The sequence below is a fragment of the Homo sapiens genome, chromosome 8 (genome assembly GCF_000001405.40).
Source record: "Homo sapiens chromosome 8, GRCh38.p14 Primary Assembly".
In the NCBI taxonomy this organism is placed as follows: Eukaryota; Metazoa; Chordata; class Mammalia; order Primates; family Hominidae; genus Homo; species Homo sapiens.
Window position 1 is genome coordinate 45,927,266 of NC_000008.11, and position 19,495 is coordinate 45,946,760.

Consider the following 19,495-nt stretch of genomic DNA (forward strand, 5'->3'; position numbering starts at 1 on the left):
AAGCTTTGAGGATTTCGTTGGAAACGGGAATATCTTCAAATAAAATCTAGCCAGACGCATTCTAAGAAACATCTTAGGGAGGTTTACATTCAAGTCACAGAGTTGAACATTCCCTTTCACAGAGCAGGTTTGAAACAATCTTCTCGTACTATCTGGAAGTGGACATTTTGAGCTCCTTGGGGCCTATGCTGAAAAAGGAAATATCTTCCGACAAAAACTAGACAGAAGCATTCGCAGAATCACGTTTGTGATGTGTGCACTCAACTGTCAGAATTGAACCTTGGTTTGGACAGAGCACTTTTGAAACACTCTTTTTGTAGAATCTGCAGGTGGATAGTTGGCTAGCTTTGAGGATTTCGTTGGAAACGGTAATGTCTTCAAAGAAAATCTAGACAGAAACATTCTCAGAAACACCTTCGTGATGTTTGCAATCAAGTCACAGAGTTGAACCTTCCGTTTCATAGAGCAGGTTGGAAACACTCTTTTTGTAGTATCTGGAAGTGGACATTTGGAGCGCTTTCAGGCCTCTGGTGAAAAAGGAAATATCTTCCAATAAAAACGACATAGAAGCTATCTCAGGAACCTGTTTATGATGCATCTAATCAACTAACAGTGTTGAAACTTTGTACTGACAGAGCAGTTTGAAACACTCTTTTTTTGGAATCTGCATGTGGATATTTGGATCGCTTTGAGGATTTCTTTGGAAACGGGATGCAATATAAAACGTACACAGCAGCATACTCAGAAAATACTTTGCCATCTTTCCATTCAAGTCACAGAGTGGAACATTCCCATTCATAGAGCAGGTTTGAAAGACTCTTTTTGGAGTATCTGGAAGTGGACATTTGGAGCGCTTTGTGAACTATGGTGAAAAAGGAAATATCTTCCAATGAAAACAAGACAGAAGCATTCTGAGAAACTTATTTGTGATGTGTGTCCTCAACTAACGGACTTGAACCTTTCGTTTCATGCAGTACTTCTGGAACACTCTTTTTGAAGATTGTGCATGCGGATATTTGGATAGCTTTGAGGATTTCGTTGGAAACGGGCTTACATGTAAAAATTAGACAGCAGCATTCTCAGAAACTCCTTTGTGGTGTCTGCGTTCAAGTCACAGAATTGAACATCCCCTCACATAGAGCAGTTGTGCAGCACTCTATTTGTAGTATCTCGAAGTGGACATTTGGAGGGCTTTGTAGCCTATCTGGAAAAAGGAAATATCTTCCCATGAATGCGAGATAGAAGTAATCTCAGAAACATGTTTATGCTGTATCTACTCAACTAACTGTGCTGAACATCTCTATTGATAGAGCAGTTTTGAGACACTCTTCTTTTGGAATCTGCAAGTGGATATTTGGATAGATTTGAGGATTTCGCTGGCAACGGGATTATATATCAAAAGTAGACAGCAGCATTCTCAGAAACTTCTTTGTGATGTTTGCATCCAGCTCTCAGAGTTGAACATTCCGTTTCATAGAGTAGGTTTGAAACCCTCTTTTTATAGTGTCTGGAAGCGGGCATTTGGAGCGCTTTCAGGCCTATGCTGAAAAAGGAAATATCTACCAACAGAAATTAGACAGAAGCATTCTGAGAATCACGTTTGTGATGTGGGTACTCAACTAACAGTGTTGATCCATTCTTTTGATACAGCATTTTTGAACCACACTTTTTGTAGAATCTGCAAGTGGATATTTGGATAGCTGTGAGGATTTCGTTGGAAACGGGAATGTCTTCATAGAAAATTTAGACAGAAGCATTCTCAGAACCTTGATTGTGATGTGTGTTCTCCACTAACAGAGGTGAATCTTTCTTTTGACAGAACTGTTCTGAAACATTCTTTTTATAGAATCTGGAAGTGGATATTTGGAAAGCTTTGAGGATTTCGTTGGAAACGGGAATATCTTCAAACAAAATCTAGCCAGACGCATTCTAAGGAACATCTTAGGGAGGTTTACATTCAAGTCACAGAGTTGAACATTCCCTTTCACAGAGCAGGCTTGAAACAATCTTCTCGTACTATCTGGAAGTGGACATTTTGAGCTCCTTGTGGCCTATGCTGAAAAAGGAAATATCTTCCGACAAAAACTAGACAGAAGCATTCGCAGAATCACGTTTGTGATGTGTGCACTCAACTGTCAGAATTGAACCTTGGTTTGGACAGAGCACTTTTGAAACACTCTTTTTGTAGAATCTGCAGGTGGATATTTGGCTAGCTTTGAGGATTTCGTTGGAAACAGTAATGTCTTCAAAGAAAATCTAGACAGAAACATTCTCAGGAACACCTTCGTGATGTTTGCAATCAAGTCACAGAGTTGAACCTTCCGTTTCATAGAGCAGGTTGGAAAAACTCTTTTTGTAGTATCTGGAAGTGGACATTTAGAGCGCTTTCAGGCCTCTGGTGAAAAAGGAAATATCTTCCCATAAAAACGACATAGAAGGTATCTCAGGAACTTGTTTATGATGCATCTAATCAACTAACAGTGTTGAACCTTTGTACTGACAGAGCAGTTTGAAACACTCTTTTTTTGGAATCTGCAAGTGGATATTTGGATCGCTTTGAGGATTTCGTTGGAAACGGGATGCAATATAAATCGTACACAGCAGCATACTCAGAAAATACTTTGCCATATTTCCATTCAAGTCACAGAGTGGATCATTCCCATTCATAGAGCAGGTTTGAAACAGTCTTTTTGGAGTATCTGGAAGTGGACATTTGGAGCGCTTTCTGAACTATGGTGAAAAAGGAAATATCTTCCAATGAAAACAAGACAGAAGCATTCTGAGAAACTTATTTGTGATGTGTGTCCTCAACAAACGGACTTCAACCTTTCGTTTCATGCAGTACTTCTGGAACACTCTTTTTGAAGATTCTGCATGCGGATATTTGGATAGCTTTGAGGATTTCGTTGGAAACGGGCTTACATGTAAAAATTAGACAGCAGCATTCTCAGAAACTTCTTTGTCGTGTCTGCGTTCAAGTCACAGAATTGAACATCCCCTCACATAGAGCAGTTGTGCAGAACTCTATTTGTAGTATCTCGAAGTGGACATTTGGAGGGCTTTGTAGCCTATCTGGAAAAAGGAAATATCTTCCCATGAATGCGAGATAGAAGTAATCTCAGAAACATGTTTATGCTGTATCTACTCAACTAACTGTGCTGAACATTTCTATTGATAGAGTAGTTTTGAGACACTCTTCTTTTGGAATCTGCAAGTGGATATTTGGATAGATTTGAGGATTTCGTTGGCAACGGGATTAAATATCAAAAGTAGACAGCAGGATTCTCAGAAACTCCTTTGTGATGTTTGCATCCAGCTCTCAGAGTTGAACATTCCCTTTCATAGAGTAGGTTTGAAACCCTCTTTTTATAGTGTCTGGAAGCGGGCATTTGGAGCGCTTTCAGGCCTATGCTGAAAAAGGAAATATCTACCTACAGAAACTAGACAGAAGCATTCTGAGACTCACGTTTGTGATGTGGGTACTCAACTAACAGTGTTGATCCATTCTTTTGATACAGCAGTTTTGAACCACACTTTTTGTAGAATCTGCAAGTGGATATTTGGATAGCTGTGAGGATTTCGTTGGAAACGGGAATGTCTTCATAGAAAATTTAGACAGAAGCATTCTCAGAACCTTGATTGTGATGTGTGTTCTCCACTAACAGAGTTGAACCTTTCTTTTGACAGAACTGTTCTGAAACATTCTTTTTATAGAATCTGGAATTGGATATTTGGAAAGCTTTGAGGATTTCGTTGGAAACGGGAATATCTTCAAATAAAATCTAGCCAGACGCATTCTAAGAAACATCTTAGGGAGGTTTACATTCAAGTCACAGAGTTGAACATTCCCTTTCACAGAGCAGGTTTGAAACAATCTTCTCGTACTATCTGGAAGTGGACATTTTGAGCTCCTTGGGGCCTATGCTGAAAAAGGAAATATCTTCCGACAAAAACTAGACAGAAGCATTCGCAGAATCACGATTGTGATGTGTGCACTCAACTGTCAGAATTGAACCTTGGTTTGGACAGAGCACTTTTGAAACACTCTTTTTGTAGAATCTGCAGGTGGATAGTTGGCTAGCTTTGAGGATTTCGTTGGAAACGGTAATGTCTTCAAAGAAAATCTAGACAGAAACATTCTCAGAAACACCTTCGTGATGTTTGCAATCAAGTCACAGAGTTGAACCTTCCGTTTCATAGAGCAGGTTGGAAACACTCTTTTTGTAGTATCTGGAAGTGGACATTTGGAGCGCTTTCAGGCCTCTGGTGAAAAAGGAAATATCTTCCAATAAAAACGACATAGAAGCTATCTCAGGAACTTGTTTATGATGCATCTAATCAACTAACAGTGTTGAAACTTTGTACTGACAGAGCAGTTTGAAACACTCTTTTTTTGGAATCTGCATGTGGATATTTGGATCGCTTTGAGGATTTCTTTCGAAACGGGATGCAATATAAAACGTACACAGCAGCATACTCAGAAAATACTTTGCCATATTTCCATTCAAGTCACAGAGTGGAACATTCCCATTCATAGAGCAGGTTTGAAACACTCTTTTTGGAGTATCTGGAAGTGGACATTTGGAGCGCTTTCTGAACTATGCTGAAAAAGTAAATATCTTCCAATGAAAACAAGACAGAAGCATTCTGAGAAACTTATTTGTGATGTGTGTCCTGAACTAACGGACTTGAACCTTTCGTTTCATGCAGTACTTCTGGAACACTCTTTTTGAAGTTTCTGCATGCGGATATTTGGATAGTTTTGAGGATTTCGTTGGAAACGGGCTTACATGTAAAAATTAGACAGCAGCATTCTCAGAAACTTCTTTGTGGTGTCTGCGTTCAAGTCACAGAATTGAACATCCCCTCACATAGAGCAGTTGTGCAGCACTCTATTTGTAGTATCTCGAAGTGGACATTTGGAGGGCTTTGTAGCCTATCTGGAAAAAGGAAATATCTTCCGATGAATGCGAGATAGAAGTAATCTCAGAAACATGTTTATGCTGTATCTACTCACCTAACTGTGCTGAACATCTCTATTGATAGAGCAGTTTTGAGACACTCTTCTTTTGGAATCTGCAAGTGGATATTTGGATAGATTTGAGGACTTCGTTGGCAACGGGATTATATATCAAAAGTAGACAGCAGCATTCTCAGAAACTTCTTTGTGATGTTTGCATCCAGCTCTCAGAGTTGAACATTCCGTTTCATAGAGTAGGTTTGAAACCCTCTTTTTATAGTGTCTGGAAGCGGGCATTTGGAGCGCTTTCAGGCCTATGCTGAAAAAGGAAATATCTACCTACAGAAACTAGACAGAAGCATTCTGAGAATCACGTTTGTGATGTGGGTACTCAACTAACAGTGTTGATCCATTCTTTTGATACAGCAGTTTTGAACCACACTTTTTGTAGAATCTGCAAGTGGATATTTGGATAGCTGTGAGGATTTCGTTGGAAACGGGAATGTCTTCATAGAAAATTTAGACAGAAGCATTCTCAGAACCTTGATTGTGATGTGTGTTCTCCACTAACAGAGTTGAACCTTTCTTTTGACAGAACTGTTCTGAAACATTCTTTTTATAGAATCTGGAATTGGATATTTGGAAAGCTTTGAGGATTTCGTTGGAAACGGGAATATCTTCAAATAAAATCTAGCCAGACGCATTCTAAGAAACATCTTAGGGAGGTTTACATTCAAGTCACAGAGTTGAACATTCCCTTTCACAGAGCAGGTTTGAAACAATCTTCTCGTACTATCTGGAAGTGGACATTTTGAGCTCCTTGGGGCCTATGCTGAAAAAGGAAATATCTTCCGACAAAAACTAGACAGAAGCATTCGCAGAATCACGATTGTGATGTGTGCACTCAACTGTCAGAATTGAACCTTGGTTTGGACAGAGCACTTTTGAAACACTCTTTTTGTAGAATCTGCAGGTGGATATTTGGCTAGCTTTGAGGATTTCGTTGGAAACGGTAATGTCTTCAAAGAAAATCTAGACAGAAGCATTCTCAGAAACACCTTCGTGATGTTTGCAATCAAGTCACAGAGTTGAACCTTCCGTTACATAGAGCAGGTTGGAAACACTCTTTTTGTAGTATCTGGAAGTGGACATTTGGAGCGCTTTCAGGCTTATGGTGAAAAAGGAAATATCTTCCCATAAAAACGACATTGAAGCTATCTCAGGAACTTGTTTATGATGCATCTAATCAACTAACAGTGTTGAACCTTTGTAGTGACAGAGCAGTTTGAAACACTCTTTTTTTGGAATCTGCAAGTGGATATTTGGATCGCTTTGAGGATTTCGTTGGAAACGGGATGCAATATAAAACGTACACAGCAGCATACTCAGAAAATACTTTGCCATATTTCCATTCAAGTCACAGAGTGGAACATTCCCATTCATAGAGCAGGTTGGAAACAGTCTTTTTGGAGTATCTGGAAGTGGACATTTGGAGCGCTTTCTGAACTATGGTGAAAAAGGAAATATCTTCCAATGAAAACAAGACAGAAGCATTCTGAGAAACTTATTTGTGATGTGTGTCCTCAACTAAAGGACTTGAACCTTTCGTTTCATGCAGTACTTCTGGAACACTGTTTTTGAAGATTGTGCATGCGGATATTTGGATAGCTTTGACGATTTCGTTGGAAACGGGCTTACATGTAAAAATTAGACAGCAGCATTCTCAGAAACTTCTTTGTGGTGTCTGCATTCAAGTCACAGAATTGAACATCACCTCACATAGAGCAGTTGTGCAGCACTCTATTTGTAGTATCTCGAAGTGGACATTTGGAGGGCTTTGTAGCCTATCTGGAATAAGGAAATATCTTCCCATGAATGCGAGATAGAAGTAATCTCAGAAACATGTTTATGCTGTATCTACTCAACTAACTGTGCTGAACATCTCTATTGATAGAGCAGTTTTGAGACACTCTTCTTTTGGAATCTGCAAGTGGATATTTGGATAGATTTGAGGATTTCGTTGGCAACGGGATTATATATCAAAAGTAGACAGCAGCATTCTCAGAAACTTCTTTGTGATGTTTGCATCCAGCTCTCAGAGTTGAACATTCCCTTTCGTAGAGTAGGTTTGAAACCCTCTTTTTATAGTGTCTGGAAGCGGGCACTTGGAGCGCTTTCAGGGCTATGCTGAAAAAGGAAATATCTACCTATAGAAACTAGACAGAAGCTTTCTGAGAATCACGTTTGTGATGTGGGTACTCAACTAACAGTGTTGATCCATTCTTTTGATACAGCAGTTTTGAACCACACTTTTCGTAGAATCTGCAAGTGGATATTTGGATAGCTGTGAGGATTTCCTTGGAAACGGGAATGTCTTCATAGAAAATTTAGACAGAAGCATTCTCAGAACCTTGATTGTGATGTGTGTTCTCCACTAACAGAGTTGAACCTTTCTTTTGAAAGAACTGTTCTGAAACATTCTTTTTATAGAATCTGGAAGTGGATATTTGGAAAGCTTTGAGGATTTCGTTGGAAACGGGAATATCTTCAAATCAAGTCTAGCCAGAAGCATTCTAAGAAACATCTTAGGGATGTTTACATTCAAGTCACAGAGTTGAACATTCCCTTTCACAGAGCAGGTTTGAAACAATCTTCTCGTACTATCTGGAAGTGGACATTTTGAGCTCCTTGGGGCCTATGCTGAAAAAGGAAATATCTTCCGACAAAAACTAGACAGAAGCATTCGCAGAATCACGTTTGTGATGTGTTCACTCAACTGTCAGAATTGAACCTTTGTTTGGACAGAGCACTTTTGAAACACTTTTTTTGTAGAATCTGCAGGTGGATATTTGGCAAGCTTTGAGGATTTCGTTGGAAACGGTAATGTCTTCAAAGAAAATCTAGACAGAAACATTCTCAGAAACACCTTCGTGATGTTTGCAATCAAGTCACAGAGTTGAACCTTCCGTTTCATAGAGCAGGTGGGAAACACTCTTTTTGTAGTATCTGGAAGTGGACATTTGGAGCGCTTTCAGGCCTATGGTGAAAAAGGAAATATCTTCCCATAAAAACGACATAGAAGCTATCTCAGGAACTTGTTTATGATGCATCCAATCAACTAACAGTGTTGAATCTTTGTACTGAGAGAGCAGTGTGAAACACTCTTTTTTTTGGGATCTGCAAGTGGATATTTGGATCGCTTTGAGGATTTCATTGTAAACGGGATGCAATATAAAACGTACACAGCAGCATAGTCAGAAAATACTTTGCCATATTTCCATTCAAGTCACAGAGTGGAATATTCCCATTCATAGAGCAGGTTTGACACACTCTTTTTGTAGTATCTGGAAGTGGACATTTGGAGCGCTTTCTGAACTATGGTGAAAAAGGAAATATCTTCCAATGAAAACAAGACAGAAGCATTCTGAGAAACTTATTTGTGACGTGTGTCCTCAACTAACGGACTTGAACCTTTCGTTTCATGCAGTACTTCTGGAACACTCTTTTTGAAGATTCTGCATGCGGATATTTGGATAGCTTTGAGGATTTCGTTGGAAACGGGCTTACATATAAAAATTAGACAGCAGCATTCTCAAAAACTTCTTTGTGGTGTCTGCATTCAAGTCACAGAATTGAACATCACCTCACATAGAGCAGTTGTGCAGCACTCTATTTGTAGTATCTCGATGTGGACATTTGGAGGGCTTTGTAGCCTATCTGGAATAAGGAAATATCTTCCCATGAATGCGAGATAGAAGTAATCTCAGAAACATGTTTATGCTGTAACTACTCCACTAACTGTGCTGAACATTTCTATTGATAGAGCAGTTTTGAGACACTCTTCTTTTGGAATCTGCAAGTGGATATTTTGAAAGATTTGAGGATTTTGTTGGCAACGGGATTATATATAAAAAGTAGACAGCCGCATTCTCAGAAACTTCTTTGTGATGTTTGCATCCAGCTCTCAGAGTTGAACATTCCCTTTCGTAGAGTAGGTTTGAAACCCTCTTTTTATAGTGTCTGGAAGCGGGCATTTGGAGCGCTTTCAGGCCTATGCTGAAAAAGGAAATATCTACCTATAGAAACTAGACAGAAACATTCTGAGAATCACGTTTGTGATGTGGGTACTCAACTAACAGTGATGATCCATTCTTTTGATACAGCAGTTTTGAACCACACTTTTTGTAGAATCTGCAAGTGGATATTTGGATAGCTGTGAGGATTTCCTTGGAAACGGGAATGTCTTCATAGAAAATTTAGACAGAAGCATTCTCAGAACCTTGATTGACATGTGTGTTCTCCATTAACAGAGTTGAACCTTTCTTTTGACAGAACTGTTCTGAAAGATTCTTTTTATAGAATCTGGAAGTGGATATTTGGAAAGCTTTGAGGATTTCGTTGGAAACGGGAATATCTTCAAATCAAATCTAGCCAGAAGCATTCTAAGAAACATCTTAGGGATGTTTACATTCAAGTCACAGAGTTGAACATTCCCTTTCACAGAGCAGGTTTGAAACAATCTTCTCGTACTATCTGGAAGTGGACATTTTGAGCTCCTTGGGGCCTATGCTGAAAAAGGAAATATCTTCCGACAAAAACTAGACAGAAGCATTCGCAGAATCACGTTTGTGATGTGTGCACTCAACTGTCAGAATTGAACCTTGGTTTGGACAGAGCACTTTTGAAACACTCTTTTTGTAGAATCTGCAGGTGGATATTTGGCTAGCTTTGAGGATTTCGTTGGAAACGGTAATGTCTTCAAAGAAAATCTAGACAGAAACATTCTCAGAAACACCTTCGTGATGTTTGCAATCAAGTCACAGAGTTGAACCTTCCGTTTCATAGAGCAGGTTGGAAACACTCTTTTTGTAGTATCTGGAAGTGGACATTTGGAGCGCTTTCAAGCCTACGGTGAAAAAGGAAATATCTTCCCATAAAAACGACATAGAAGCTATCTCAGGAAGTTGTTTATGATGCATCCAATCAACTAACAGTTTTGAACCTTTCTACTGACAGGGCAGTGTGAAACACTCTTTTTTTTGGAATCTGCATGTGGATATTTGGATCGCTTTGAGGATTTCGTTGGAAACGGGATGCAATATAAAAGGTACACAGCAGCATACTCAGAAAATACTTTGCCATATTTCCATTCAAGTCACAGAGTGGAACATTCCCATTCATAGAGCAGGTTGGAAACACTCTTTTTGTAGTATCTGGAAGTGGACATTTGGAGCGCTTTCTGAACTATGGTGAAAAAGGAAATATCTTCCAATGAAAACAAGACAGAAGCATTCTGAGAAACTTATTTGTGATGTGTGTCCTCAACTAACGGACTTGAACCTTTCGTTTCATGCAGTACTTCTGGAACACTCTTTTTGAAGATTCTGCATGCGGATATTTGGATAGCTTTGAGGATTTCGTTGGAAACGGGCTTACATATAAAAATTAGACAGCAGCATTCTCAGAAACTTCTTTGTGGTGTCTGCATTCAAGTCACAGAATTGAACATCCCCTCACATAGAGCAGTTGTGCAGCACTCTATTTGTAGTATCTCGAAGTGGACATTTGGAGGGCTTTGTAGCCTATCTGGAAAAAGGAAATATCTTCCCATGAATGCGAGATAGAAGTAATCTCAGAAACATGTTTATGCTGTATCTACTCAACTAACTGTGCTGAACATTTCTATTGATAGAGCAGTTTTGAGACACTCTTCTTTTGGAATCTGCAAGTGGATATTTGGATAGATTTGAGGATTTAGTTGGAAACGGGATTATATATAAAAAGTAGACAGCAGCATTCTCAGAAACTTCTTTGTGATGTTTGCATCCAGCTCTCAGAGTTGAACATTCCCTTTCGTAGAGTAGGTTTGAAACCCTCTTTTTATAGTGTCTGGAAGCGGGCATTTGGAGCGCTTTCAGGCCTATGCTGAAAAAGGAAATATCTACCTATAGAAACTAGACAGAAGCATTCTGAGAATCACGTTTGTGATGTGGGTACTCAACTAACAGTGTTGATCCATTCTTTTGATACAGCAGTTTTGAACCACACTTTTTGTAGAATCTGCAAGTGGATATTTGGATAGCTGTGAGGATTTCCTTGGAAACGGGAATGTCTTCATAGAAAATTTAGACAGAAGCATTCTCAGAACCTTGATTGTGATGTGTGTTCTCCACTAACAGGGTTGAACCTTTCTTTTGACAGAACTGTTGTGAAACATTCTTTTTATAGAATCTGGAAGTGGATATTTGGAAAGCTTTGAGGATTTCGTTGGAAACGGGAATATCTTCAAATCAAATCTAGCCAGAAGCATTCTAAGAAACATCTTAGGGATGTTTACATTCAAGTCACAGAGTTGAACATTCCCTTTCACAGAGCAGGTTTGAAACAATCTTCTCGTACTATCTGGAAGTGGACATTTTGAGCTCCTTGGGGCCTATGCTGAAAAAGGAAATATCTTCCGACAAAAACTAGACAGAAGCATTCGCAGAATCACGTTTGTGATGTGTGCACTCAACTGTCAGAATTGAACCTTGGTTTGGACAGAGCACTTTTGAAACACTCTTTTTGTAGAATCTGCAGGTGGATATTTGGCTAGCTTTGAGGATTTCGTTGGAAACGGTAATGTCTTCAAAGAAAATCTAGACAGAAACATTCTCAGAAACACCTTCGTGATGTTTGCAATCAAGTCAAAGAGTTGAACCTTCCGTTTCATAGAGCAGGTTGGAAACACTCTTTTTGTAGTATCTGGAAGTGGACATCTGGAGCGCTTTCAGGCCTATGGTGAAAAAGGAAATATCTTCCCATAAAAACGACATAGAAGCTATCTCAGGAACTTGTTTATGATGCATCCAATCAACTAACAGTGTTGAACCTTTCTACTGACAGGGCAGTGTGAAACACTCTTTTTTTTGGAATCTGCAAGTGGATATTTGGATCGCTTTGAGGATTTCGTTGGAAACGGGATGCAATATAAAACGTACACAGCAGCATACTCAGAAAATACTTTGCCATATTTCCATTCAAGTCACAGAGTGGAACATTCCCATTCATAGAGCAGGTTGGAAACACTCTTTTTGTAGTATCTGGAAGTGGACATTTGGAGCGCTTTCTGAACTATGGTGAAAAAGGAAATATCTTCCAATGAAAACAAGACAGAAGCATTCTGAGAAACTTATTTGTGATGTGTGTCCTCAACTAACGGACTTGAACCTTTCCTTTCATACAGTACTTCTGGAACACTCTTTTTGAAGATTCTGCATGTGGATATATGGATAGCTTTGAGGATTTCGTGGGAAACGGGCTTACATAAAAAATTAGACAGCAGCATTCTCAGAAACTTCTTTGTGGTGTCTGCATTCAAGTCACAGAATTGAACATCCCCTCACATAGAGCAGTTGTGCATCACTCTATTTGTGGTATCTCGAAGTGGACATTTGGAGGGCTTTGTTGCCTATCTGGAAAAAGGAAATATCTTCCCATGAATGCGAGATAGAAGTAATCTCAGAAACATGTTTATGCTGTATCTACTCAACTAACTGTGCTGAACATTTCTATTGATAGAGCAGTTTTGAGACACTCTTCTTTTGGAATCTGCAAGTGGATATTTGGATAGATTTGAGGATTTCCTTGGAAACGGGATTATATATAAAAAGTAGACAGCAGCATTCTCAGAAACTTCTTTGTGATGTTTGCATCCAGCTCTCAGAGTTGAACATTCCCTTTCGTAGAGTAGGTTTGAAACCCTCTTTTTATAGTGTCTGGAAGCAGGCATTTGGAGCGCTTTGAGGCCTATGCTGAAAAAGGAAATATCTACCTATAGAAAGTAGACAGAAGCATTCTGAGAATCACGTTTGTGATGTGGGTACTCAACTAACAGTGTTGATCCATTCTTTTGATACAGCAGTTTTGAACCACACTTTTTGTAGAATCTGCAAGTGGATATTTGGATAGCTGTGAGGATTTCCTTGGAAACGGGAATGTCTTCATAGAAAATTTAGACAGAAGCATTCTCAGAATCTTGATTGTGATGTGTGTTCTCCACCAACAGAGTTGAACATTTCTTTTGACAGAACTGTTTTGAAACATTCTTTTTATAGAATCTGGAAGTGGATATTTGGAAAGCTTTGAGTATTTCGTTGGAAACGGGAATATCTTCAAATACAATCTAGCCAGAAGCATTCAAAGAAACATCTTAGGGATGTTTACATTCAAGTCACAGAGTTGAACATTCCCTTTCACAGAGCAGGTTTGAAACAATCTTCTCGTACTATCTGGAAGTGGACATTTTGAGCTCCTTGGGGCCTATGCTGAAAAAGGAAATATCTTCCGACAAAAACCAGACAGAAGCATTCGCAGAATCACGTTTGTGATGTGTGCACTCAACTGTCAGAATTGAACCTTGGTTTGGACAGAGCACTTTTGAAACACTCTTTTTGTAGAATCTGCAGGTGGATATTTGGCTAGCTTTGAGGATTTCGTTGGAAACGGTAATGTCTTCAAAGAAAATCTAGACAGAATCATTCTCAGAAACACTTTCGTGATGTTTCCAATCAAGTCACAGAGTTGAACCTTCCGTTTCATAGAGCAGGTTGGAAACACTCTTTTTGTAGTATCTGGAAGTGGACATTTGGAGCGCTTTCAGGCCTACGGTGAAAAAGGAAATATCTTCCCATAAAAACGACATAGAAGCTATCTCAGGAACTTGTTTATGATGCATCCAATCAACTAACAGTGTTGAACCTTTGTACTGACAGAGCAGTGTGAAACACTCTTTTTTTTGGAATCTGCAAGTGGATATTTGGATCGCTTTGAGGATTTCGTTGGAAACGGGATGCAGTATAAAACGTACACAGCAGCATACTCAGAAAATACTTTGCCATATTTCCATTCAAGTCACAGAGTGGAACATTCCCATTCATAAAGCAGGTTGGAAACACTCCTTTTGTAGTATCTGGAAGTGGACATTTGGAGCGCTTTCTGAACTATGGTGAAAAAGGAAATATCTTCCAATGAAAACAAGACAGAAGCATTCTGAGAAACTTATTTGTGATGTGTGTCCTCAACTAACGGACTTGAACCTTTCGTTTCATGCAGTACTTCTGGAACACTCTTTTTGAAGATTCTGCATGCGGATATTTGGATAGCTTTGAGGATTTCGTTGGAAACGGGCTTACATATAAAAATTAGACAGCAGCATTCTCAGAAACTTCTTTGTGGTGTCCGCATTCAAGTCACAGAATTGAACATCCCCTCACATAGAGCAGTTGTGCAGCACTCTCTTTGTAGTATCTCGAAGTGGACATTTGGAGGGCTTTGTAGCCTATCTGGAAAAAGGAAATATCTTCCCATGAATGCGAGATAGAAGTAATCTCAGAAACATGTTTATGCTGTATCTACTCAACTAACTGTGCTGAACATTTCTATTGATAGAGCAGTTTTGAGACACTCTCCTGTTGGAATCTGCAAGTGGATATTTGGATAGATTTGTGGATTTCCTTGGAAACGGGATTATATATCAAAAGTAGACAGCAGCATTCTCAGAAACTTCTTTGTGATGTTTGCATCCAGCTCTCAGAGTTGAACATTCCCTTTCGTAGAGTAGGTTTGAAACCCTCTTTTTATAGTGTCTGGAAGCGGGCATTTGGAGCGCTTTCAGGCCTATGCTGAAAAAGGAAATATCTACCTATAGAAACTAGACAGAAGCATTCTGAGAATCACGTTTGTGATGTGGGTACTCAACTAACACTGTTGATCCATTCTTTTGATACAGCAGTTTTGAACCACACTTTTTGTAGAATCTGCAAGTGGATATTTGGATAGCTGTGAGGATTTCGTTGGAAACGGGAATGTCTTCATAGAAAATTTAGACAGAAGCATTCTCAGAACCTTGATTGTGATGTGTGTTCTCCACCAACAGAGTTGAACCTTTCTTTTGACAGAACTGTTTTGAAACATTCTTTTTATAGAATCTGGAAGTGGATATTTGGAAAGCTTTGAGGATTTCGTTGGAAACGGGAATATCTTCAAATAAAATCTAGCCAGAAGCATTCAAAGAAACATCTTAGGGATGTTTACATTCAAGTCACAGAGTTGAACATTCCCTTTCACAGAGCAGGTTTGAAACAATCTTCTCGTACTATCTGGAAGTGGACATTTTGAGCTCCTTGGGGCCTATGCGGAAAAAGGAAATATCTTCCGACAAAAACTAGACAGAAGCATTCGCAGAATCACGTTTGTGATGTGTGCACTCAACTGTCAGAATTGAACCTTGGTTTGGACAGAGCACTTTTGAAACACTCTTTTTGTAGAATCTGCAGGTGGATATTTGGCTAGCTTTGAGGATTTCGTTGGAAACGGTAATGTCTTCAAAGAAAATCTAGACAGAAACATTCTCAGAAACACCTTCGTGATGTTTGCAATCAAGTCACAGAGTTGAACCTTCCGTTTCATAGAGCAGGTTGGAAACACTCTTTTTGTAGTATCTGGAAGTGGACATTTGGAGCGCTTTCAGGCCTATGGTGAAAAAGGAAATATCTTCCCATGAAAACGACATAGAATCTATCTCAGGAACTTGTTTCTGATGCATCCAATCAACTAACAGTGTTGAACCTTTGTACTGACAGAGCAGTGTGAAACACTCTTTTTTTTGGAATCTGCAAGTGGATATTTGGATCGCTTTGAGGATTTCGTTGGAAACGGGATGCAATATAAAACGTACACAGCAGCATACTCAGAAAATACTTTGCCATATTTCCATTCAAGTCACAGAGTGGAACATTCCCATCCATGGAGCAGGTTGGAAACACTCCTTTTGTAGTATCTGGAAGTGGTCATTTGGAGCGCTTTCTGAACTATGATGAAAAAGGAAATATCTTCCAATGAAAACAAGACAGAAGCATTATGAGAAACTTATTTGTGATGTGTGTCCTCCACTAACGGACTTGAACCTTTCGTTTCATGCAGTACTTCTGGAACACTCTTTTTGAAGATTCTGCATGCGGATATTTGGATAGCTTTGAGGATTTCGTTGGAAACGGGCTTACATATAAAAATTAGACAGCAGCATTCTCAGAAACTTCTTTGTGGTGTCTGCATTCAAGTCATAGAATTGAACATCCCCTCACATAGAGCAGTTGTGCAGCACTCTATTTGTAGTATCTCGAAGTGGACATTTGGAGGGCTTTGTAGCCTATCTGGAAAAAGGAAATATCTTCCCATGAATGCAAGATAGAAGTAATCTCAGAAACATGTTTATGCTGTATCTACTCAACTAACTGTGCTGAACATTTCTATTGATAGAGCAGTTTTGAGACACTCTTCTTTTGGAATCTGCAAGTGGATATTTGGATAGATTTGAGGATTTCGTTGGCAACGGGCTTATATATCAAATGTAGACAGCAGCATTCTCAGAAACTTCTTTGTGATGTTTGCATCCAGCTCTCAGAGTTGAACATTCCCCTTCATAGAGTAGGTTTGAAACCCTCTTTTTATAGTGTCTGGAAGCGGGCATTTGGAGCGCTTTCAGGCCTATGCTGAAAAAGGAAATATCTACCTATAGAAACTAGACAGAAGCATTCTGAGAATCACGTTTGTGATGTGGGTACTCAACTAACAGTGTTGATCCATTCTTTTGATACAGCAGTTTTGAACCACACTTTTTGTAGAATCTGCAAGTGGATACTTGGATAGCTGTGAGGATTTCGTTGGAAACGGGAATGTCTTCATAGAAAATTTAGACAGAAGCATTCTCAGAACCTTGATTGTGATGTGTGTTCTCCACTAACAGAGTTGGACCTTTCTGTTGACAGAACTGTTTTGAAACATTCTTTTTATAGAATCTGGAAGTGGATATTTGGAAAGCTTTGAGGATTTCGTTGGAAACGGGAATATCTTCAAATCAAATCTAGCCAGAAGCATTCTAAGAAACATCTTAGGGATGTTTACATTCAAGTCACAGAGTTGAACATTCCCTTTCACAGAGCAGGTTTGAAACAATCTTCTCGTACTATCTGGAAGTGGACATTTTGAGCTCCTTGGGGCCTATGCTGAAAAAGGAAATATCTTCCGACAAAAACAAGACGGAAGCATTCGCAGAATCACGTTTGTGATGTGTGCACTCAACTGTCAGAATTGAACCTTGGTTTGGACAGAGCACTGTTGAAACACTCTTTTTGTAGAATCTGCAGGTGGATATTTGGCTAGCTTTGAGGATTTCGTTGGAAACGGTAATGTCTTCAAAGAAAATCTAGACAGAAACATTCTCAGAAATACCTTCGTGATGTTTGCAATCAAGTCACAGAGTTGAACCTTCCGTTTCATAGAGCAGGTTGGAAACACTCTTTTTGTAGTATCTGGAAGTGGACATTTGGAGCGCTTTCAGGCCTATGGTGAAAAAGGAAATATCTTCCCATAAAAACGACATAGAATCTATCTCAGGAACTTGTTTATGATGCATCCAATCAACTAACAGTGTTGAACCTTTGTACTGACAGAGCAGTTTGAAACACTCTTTTTTTGGAATCTGCAAGTGGATATTTGTATCGCTTTGAGAATTTCGTTGGAAACGGGATTACATATAAAAAGTAGACAGTAGCATTCTCAGAAACTTCCTTACGATGTTTGCATTCAAGTCACAGACTGGAACATTCCCGTTCATAGAGCAGGTTGGAAACACTCTTTTTGTAGCATCTGGAAGTGGACATTTGGAGCGCCTTCTTGCCTGTGGTGAAAAAGCAAATATCTTCCCATAAAAACAAGATAGAAGCAGTCTCAGAAACTTATTTGTGATGTGTGTCCTCAACTAACAGTCTTGAAGCTTTCTTTTCATGCAGTACTTCTGGAACACTCTTTTTTGAAGATTCTGCATGTGGATATTTGGATAGCTTTCAGGATTTCGTTGGAAACGGGTTTACATATAAAAAGTAGACAGCAGGATTCTCAGAAACTTCCTTACGATGTTTGCATTCAAGTCACAGAGTGGAACATTCCCATTCATAGAGCAGGTTGGAAACACTCTTTTTGTAGCATCTGGAAGTGGACATTTGGAGCGCTTTCTTACCTGTGGTGAAAAAGGAAATATCTTCCCATAAAAACAAGACAGAAGCATTCTCAGAAACTTTTTTGTGATGTGTGTCCTCAACTAACGGACTTGAACCTTTCTTTTCATGCAGTACTTCTGGAACACTCTTTTTGAAGATTCTGCATGTGGATATTTGGATGGCTTTGAGGATTTCGTTGTAAACGGGATTACATATAAAAAGTAGACAGCAGCATTCAGAAACTTCTTTGTGGTGTCTGCATTCAAGTCACAGAATTGAACATTCCCTCACATAAAGCAGTTGTGAAGCACTCCATTTGTAGTATCTCGAAGTGGATATTTGGCGGGCTTTGTAGCCTATCTGGAAAAAGAAAATATCTTCCCATGAATGCGAGATAGAAGCAATCTCAGAAACTTGTTTATGCTGTATCTACTGAACGAACTGTGCTGAACCTTTCTATTGATAGAGCAGTTTTGAGACACTCTTCTTTTGGAATCTGCAAGTGGATATATGGATAGATTTGAGGATTTCGTTGGAAACGGGATTACATATCAAAGGTAGACAGCAGCATTCTCAGAAACTTCTTTGTGATGTTTGCATCCAGCTCTCAGAGTTGAACATTCCCCTTCATAGAGTAGGTTTGAAACCCTCTTTTTATAGTGTCTGGAAGCGGGCAATTGGAGCGCTTTCAGGCCTATGCTGAAAAAGGAAATTACCCATAGAAACTAGACAGAAGCATTCTGAGAATCACGTTTGTGATGTGTGTACTCAACTAAGAGAGTTGAACCATTCTTTTGATACAGTAGTTTTGAAAAACTGTTTTTGTAGAATCTGCAAGTGGATATTTGGACGTCTTTGATGCCTTCATTGGAAACGGTATTCCTTCATATGAAAGATAAACAGAAGAATTCTCCGAAACTTCTTTGTGATGTGTGCATTTTACTCAAAGAGTTGAACATTCCTTTCTATATAGAAGTTTTTAAACACTCTTTTTCTAGAATTTCCAAGTGGATATTTAGTTTGCTTTGAGGCCTTTGTTAGAAAATGAAATGTCTTCATATAAAAAATAGAGATAATCATTCTCAGAAACAATTTTGTGATGTGTGCGTGCAACTCACAGAGCTTAACTTTCTTTTGATGGGTCTGATTTGAAACACTTCTTTTGTAGAATTTGCAAGTGTATATTTATTGCTCTTTAAGACCTGTGGTAGAAAAGGATATCTCTTCACATAAAAACTAGACAGAAGCATTCTCAGAGACCACATTGTGATGCTTGCATTCAACTCACAGAGTTGAACATTCCTCTTGAGAGAGCAGTTTTGAAACAGTCTTTTTGTAGGCTCTGCTGGTGGATATTTGACCTCTTTGTGGCCTTCGTTGGAAACAGGATTTCTTCATTTGTAAATTAGAAAGAAGATTTCTCAGAAACTTCTTTGTGATGTGTGCATTTATTTCACAGAGTTGAATTTTGCTTTCAATAGAGTAGTTTTGAAACACT

General features: G+C 39.1%; 29 annotated features.

Annotated features, from left to right (window-relative positions):
- Positions 354-913: an enhancer, noted in NCBI's record as "OCT4-NANOG-H3K27ac-H3K4me1 hESC enhancer chr8:46839241-46839800 (GRCh37/hg19 assembly coordinates)". NCBI's record gives its function as "activates a minimal SCP1, AML or CMV promoter by ChIP-STARR-seq in primed H9 embryonic stem cells {active_cell/tissue: H9 hESC(primed)}" and the evidence as "EXISTENCE:reporter gene assay evidence [ECO:0000049][PMID:30033119]".
- Positions 914-1,473: an enhancer, noted in NCBI's record as "OCT4-NANOG-H3K27ac-H3K4me1 hESC enhancer chr8:46839801-46840360 (GRCh37/hg19 assembly coordinates)". NCBI's record gives its function as "activates a minimal SCP1, AML or CMV promoter by ChIP-STARR-seq in primed H9 embryonic stem cells {active_cell/tissue: H9 hESC(primed)}" and the evidence as "EXISTENCE:reporter gene assay evidence [ECO:0000049][PMID:30033119]".
- Positions 1,474-2,033: an enhancer, noted in NCBI's record as "OCT4-NANOG-H3K27ac-H3K4me1 hESC enhancer chr8:46840361-46840920 (GRCh37/hg19 assembly coordinates)". NCBI's record gives its function as "activates a minimal SCP1, AML or CMV promoter by ChIP-STARR-seq in primed H9 embryonic stem cells {active_cell/tissue: H9 hESC(primed)}" and the evidence as "EXISTENCE:reporter gene assay evidence [ECO:0000049][PMID:30033119]".
- Positions 2,034-2,593: an enhancer, noted in NCBI's record as "OCT4-NANOG-H3K27ac-H3K4me1 hESC enhancer chr8:46840921-46841480 (GRCh37/hg19 assembly coordinates)". NCBI's record gives its function as "activates a minimal SCP1, AML or CMV promoter by ChIP-STARR-seq in primed H9 embryonic stem cells {active_cell/tissue: H9 hESC(primed)}" and the evidence as "EXISTENCE:reporter gene assay evidence [ECO:0000049][PMID:30033119]".
- Positions 2,594-3,153: an enhancer, noted in NCBI's record as "OCT4-NANOG-H3K27ac-H3K4me1 hESC enhancer chr8:46841481-46842040 (GRCh37/hg19 assembly coordinates)". NCBI's record gives its function as "activates a minimal SCP1, AML or CMV promoter by ChIP-STARR-seq in naive H9 embryonic stem cells {active_cell/tissue: H9 hESC(naive)}" and the evidence as "EXISTENCE:reporter gene assay evidence [ECO:0000049][PMID:30033119]".
- Positions 3,154-3,713: an enhancer, noted in NCBI's record as "OCT4-NANOG-H3K27ac-H3K4me1 hESC enhancer chr8:46842041-46842600 (GRCh37/hg19 assembly coordinates)". NCBI's record gives its function as "activates a minimal SCP1, AML or CMV promoter by ChIP-STARR-seq in primed H9 embryonic stem cells {active_cell/tissue: H9 hESC(primed)}" and the evidence as "EXISTENCE:reporter gene assay evidence [ECO:0000049][PMID:30033119]".
- Positions 4,272-4,831: an enhancer, noted in NCBI's record as "OCT4-NANOG-H3K27ac hESC enhancer chr8:46843159-46843718 (GRCh37/hg19 assembly coordinates)". NCBI's record gives its function as "activates a minimal SCP1, AML or CMV promoter by ChIP-STARR-seq in naive and primed H9 embryonic stem cells {active_cell/tissue: H9 hESC(naive and primed)}" and the evidence as "EXISTENCE:reporter gene assay evidence [ECO:0000049][PMID:30033119]".
- Positions 4,832-5,391: an enhancer, noted in NCBI's record as "OCT4-NANOG-H3K27ac-H3K4me1 hESC enhancer chr8:46843719-46844278 (GRCh37/hg19 assembly coordinates)". NCBI's record gives its function as "activates a minimal SCP1, AML or CMV promoter by ChIP-STARR-seq in naive and primed H9 embryonic stem cells {active_cell/tissue: H9 hESC(naive and primed)}" and the evidence as "EXISTENCE:reporter gene assay evidence [ECO:0000049][PMID:30033119]".
- Positions 5,392-5,951: an enhancer, noted in NCBI's record as "OCT4-NANOG-H3K27ac-H3K4me1 hESC enhancer chr8:46844279-46844838 (GRCh37/hg19 assembly coordinates)". NCBI's record gives its function as "activates a minimal SCP1, AML or CMV promoter by ChIP-STARR-seq in primed H9 embryonic stem cells {active_cell/tissue: H9 hESC(primed)}" and the evidence as "EXISTENCE:reporter gene assay evidence [ECO:0000049][PMID:30033119]".
- Positions 5,952-6,511: an enhancer, noted in NCBI's record as "OCT4-NANOG-H3K27ac-H3K4me1 hESC enhancer chr8:46844839-46845398 (GRCh37/hg19 assembly coordinates)". NCBI's record gives its function as "activates a minimal SCP1, AML or CMV promoter by ChIP-STARR-seq in naive and primed H9 embryonic stem cells {active_cell/tissue: H9 hESC(naive and primed)}" and the evidence as "EXISTENCE:reporter gene assay evidence [ECO:0000049][PMID:30033119]".
- Positions 6,512-7,071: an enhancer, noted in NCBI's record as "OCT4-NANOG-H3K27ac-H3K4me1 hESC enhancer chr8:46845399-46845958 (GRCh37/hg19 assembly coordinates)". NCBI's record gives its function as "activates a minimal SCP1, AML or CMV promoter by ChIP-STARR-seq in naive and primed H9 embryonic stem cells {active_cell/tissue: H9 hESC(naive and primed)}" and the evidence as "EXISTENCE:reporter gene assay evidence [ECO:0000049][PMID:30033119]".
- Positions 7,072-7,631: an enhancer, noted in NCBI's record as "OCT4-NANOG-H3K27ac-H3K4me1 hESC enhancer chr8:46845959-46846518 (GRCh37/hg19 assembly coordinates)". NCBI's record gives its function as "activates a minimal SCP1, AML or CMV promoter by ChIP-STARR-seq in naive H9 embryonic stem cells {active_cell/tissue: H9 hESC(naive)}" and the evidence as "EXISTENCE:reporter gene assay evidence [ECO:0000049][PMID:30033119]".
- Positions 7,632-8,191: an enhancer, noted in NCBI's record as "OCT4-NANOG-H3K27ac-H3K4me1 hESC enhancer chr8:46846519-46847078 (GRCh37/hg19 assembly coordinates)". NCBI's record gives its function as "activates a minimal SCP1, AML or CMV promoter by ChIP-STARR-seq in naive and primed H9 embryonic stem cells {active_cell/tissue: H9 hESC(naive and primed)}" and the evidence as "EXISTENCE:reporter gene assay evidence [ECO:0000049][PMID:30033119]".
- Positions 8,192-8,749: an enhancer, noted in NCBI's record as "OCT4-NANOG-H3K27ac-H3K4me1 hESC enhancer chr8:46847079-46847636 (GRCh37/hg19 assembly coordinates)". NCBI's record gives its function as "activates a minimal SCP1, AML or CMV promoter by ChIP-STARR-seq in naive H9 embryonic stem cells {active_cell/tissue: H9 hESC(naive)}" and the evidence as "EXISTENCE:reporter gene assay evidence [ECO:0000049][PMID:30033119]".
- Positions 9,310-9,869: an enhancer, noted in NCBI's record as "OCT4-NANOG-H3K27ac-H3K4me1 hESC enhancer chr8:46848197-46848756 (GRCh37/hg19 assembly coordinates)". NCBI's record gives its function as "activates a minimal SCP1, AML or CMV promoter by ChIP-STARR-seq in primed H9 embryonic stem cells {active_cell/tissue: H9 hESC(primed)}" and the evidence as "EXISTENCE:reporter gene assay evidence [ECO:0000049][PMID:30033119]".
- Positions 9,870-10,429: an enhancer, noted in NCBI's record as "OCT4-NANOG-H3K27ac-H3K4me1 hESC enhancer chr8:46848757-46849316 (GRCh37/hg19 assembly coordinates)". NCBI's record gives its function as "activates a minimal SCP1, AML or CMV promoter by ChIP-STARR-seq in primed H9 embryonic stem cells {active_cell/tissue: H9 hESC(primed)}" and the evidence as "EXISTENCE:reporter gene assay evidence [ECO:0000049][PMID:30033119]".
- Positions 10,430-10,989: an enhancer, noted in NCBI's record as "OCT4-NANOG-H3K27ac-H3K4me1 hESC enhancer chr8:46849317-46849876 (GRCh37/hg19 assembly coordinates)". NCBI's record gives its function as "activates a minimal SCP1, AML or CMV promoter by ChIP-STARR-seq in primed H9 embryonic stem cells {active_cell/tissue: H9 hESC(primed)}" and the evidence as "EXISTENCE:reporter gene assay evidence [ECO:0000049][PMID:30033119]".
- Positions 10,990-11,549: an enhancer, noted in NCBI's record as "OCT4-NANOG-H3K27ac-H3K4me1 hESC enhancer chr8:46849877-46850436 (GRCh37/hg19 assembly coordinates)". NCBI's record gives its function as "activates a minimal SCP1, AML or CMV promoter by ChIP-STARR-seq in primed H9 embryonic stem cells {active_cell/tissue: H9 hESC(primed)}" and the evidence as "EXISTENCE:reporter gene assay evidence [ECO:0000049][PMID:30033119]".
- Positions 11,550-12,109: an enhancer, noted in NCBI's record as "OCT4-NANOG-H3K27ac-H3K4me1 hESC enhancer chr8:46850437-46850996 (GRCh37/hg19 assembly coordinates)". NCBI's record gives its function as "activates a minimal SCP1, AML or CMV promoter by ChIP-STARR-seq in naive and primed H9 embryonic stem cells {active_cell/tissue: H9 hESC(naive and primed)}" and the evidence as "EXISTENCE:reporter gene assay evidence [ECO:0000049][PMID:30033119]".
- Positions 12,110-12,669: an enhancer, noted in NCBI's record as "OCT4-NANOG-H3K27ac-H3K4me1 hESC enhancer chr8:46850997-46851556 (GRCh37/hg19 assembly coordinates)". NCBI's record gives its function as "activates a minimal SCP1, AML or CMV promoter by ChIP-STARR-seq in primed H9 embryonic stem cells {active_cell/tissue: H9 hESC(primed)}" and the evidence as "EXISTENCE:reporter gene assay evidence [ECO:0000049][PMID:30033119]".
- Positions 13,228-13,787: an enhancer, noted in NCBI's record as "OCT4-NANOG-H3K27ac-H3K4me1 hESC enhancer chr8:46852115-46852674 (GRCh37/hg19 assembly coordinates)". NCBI's record gives its function as "activates a minimal SCP1, AML or CMV promoter by ChIP-STARR-seq in naive and primed H9 embryonic stem cells {active_cell/tissue: H9 hESC(naive and primed)}" and the evidence as "EXISTENCE:reporter gene assay evidence [ECO:0000049][PMID:30033119]".
- Positions 13,788-14,347: an enhancer, noted in NCBI's record as "OCT4-NANOG-H3K27ac-H3K4me1 hESC enhancer chr8:46852675-46853234 (GRCh37/hg19 assembly coordinates)". NCBI's record gives its function as "activates a minimal SCP1, AML or CMV promoter by ChIP-STARR-seq in naive and primed H9 embryonic stem cells {active_cell/tissue: H9 hESC(naive and primed)}" and the evidence as "EXISTENCE:reporter gene assay evidence [ECO:0000049][PMID:30033119]".
- Positions 14,348-14,907: an enhancer, noted in NCBI's record as "OCT4-NANOG-H3K27ac-H3K4me1 hESC enhancer chr8:46853235-46853794 (GRCh37/hg19 assembly coordinates)". NCBI's record gives its function as "activates a minimal SCP1, AML or CMV promoter by ChIP-STARR-seq in naive H9 embryonic stem cells {active_cell/tissue: H9 hESC(naive)}" and the evidence as "EXISTENCE:reporter gene assay evidence [ECO:0000049][PMID:30033119]".
- Positions 14,908-15,466: an enhancer, noted in NCBI's record as "OCT4-NANOG-H3K27ac-H3K4me1 hESC enhancer chr8:46853795-46854353 (GRCh37/hg19 assembly coordinates)". NCBI's record gives its function as "activates a minimal SCP1, AML or CMV promoter by ChIP-STARR-seq in naive and primed H9 embryonic stem cells {active_cell/tissue: H9 hESC(naive and primed)}" and the evidence as "EXISTENCE:reporter gene assay evidence [ECO:0000049][PMID:30033119]".
- Positions 15,467-16,026: an enhancer, noted in NCBI's record as "OCT4-NANOG-H3K27ac-H3K4me1 hESC enhancer chr8:46854354-46854913 (GRCh37/hg19 assembly coordinates)". NCBI's record gives its function as "activates a minimal SCP1, AML or CMV promoter by ChIP-STARR-seq in naive and primed H9 embryonic stem cells {active_cell/tissue: H9 hESC(naive and primed)}" and the evidence as "EXISTENCE:reporter gene assay evidence [ECO:0000049][PMID:30033119]".
- Positions 16,027-16,585: an enhancer, noted in NCBI's record as "OCT4-NANOG-H3K27ac-H3K4me1 hESC enhancer chr8:46854914-46855472 (GRCh37/hg19 assembly coordinates)". NCBI's record gives its function as "activates a minimal SCP1, AML or CMV promoter by ChIP-STARR-seq in primed H9 embryonic stem cells {active_cell/tissue: H9 hESC(primed)}" and the evidence as "EXISTENCE:reporter gene assay evidence [ECO:0000049][PMID:30033119]".
- Positions 17,146-17,704: an enhancer, noted in NCBI's record as "OCT4-NANOG-H3K27ac hESC enhancer chr8:46856033-46856591 (GRCh37/hg19 assembly coordinates)". NCBI's record gives its function as "activates a minimal SCP1, AML or CMV promoter by ChIP-STARR-seq in naive and primed H9 embryonic stem cells {active_cell/tissue: H9 hESC(naive and primed)}" and the evidence as "EXISTENCE:reporter gene assay evidence [ECO:0000049][PMID:30033119]".
- Positions 17,763-18,280: an enhancer, noted in NCBI's record as "OCT4-NANOG hESC enhancer chr8:46856650-46857167 (GRCh37/hg19 assembly coordinates)". NCBI's record gives its function as "activates a minimal SCP1, AML or CMV promoter by ChIP-STARR-seq in naive H9 embryonic stem cells {active_cell/tissue: H9 hESC(naive)}" and the evidence as "EXISTENCE:reporter gene assay evidence [ECO:0000049][PMID:30033119]".
- Positions 18,281-18,797: an enhancer, noted in NCBI's record as "OCT4-NANOG hESC enhancer chr8:46857168-46857684 (GRCh37/hg19 assembly coordinates)". NCBI's record gives its function as "activates a minimal SCP1, AML or CMV promoter by ChIP-STARR-seq in naive H9 embryonic stem cells {active_cell/tissue: H9 hESC(naive)}" and the evidence as "EXISTENCE:reporter gene assay evidence [ECO:0000049][PMID:30033119]".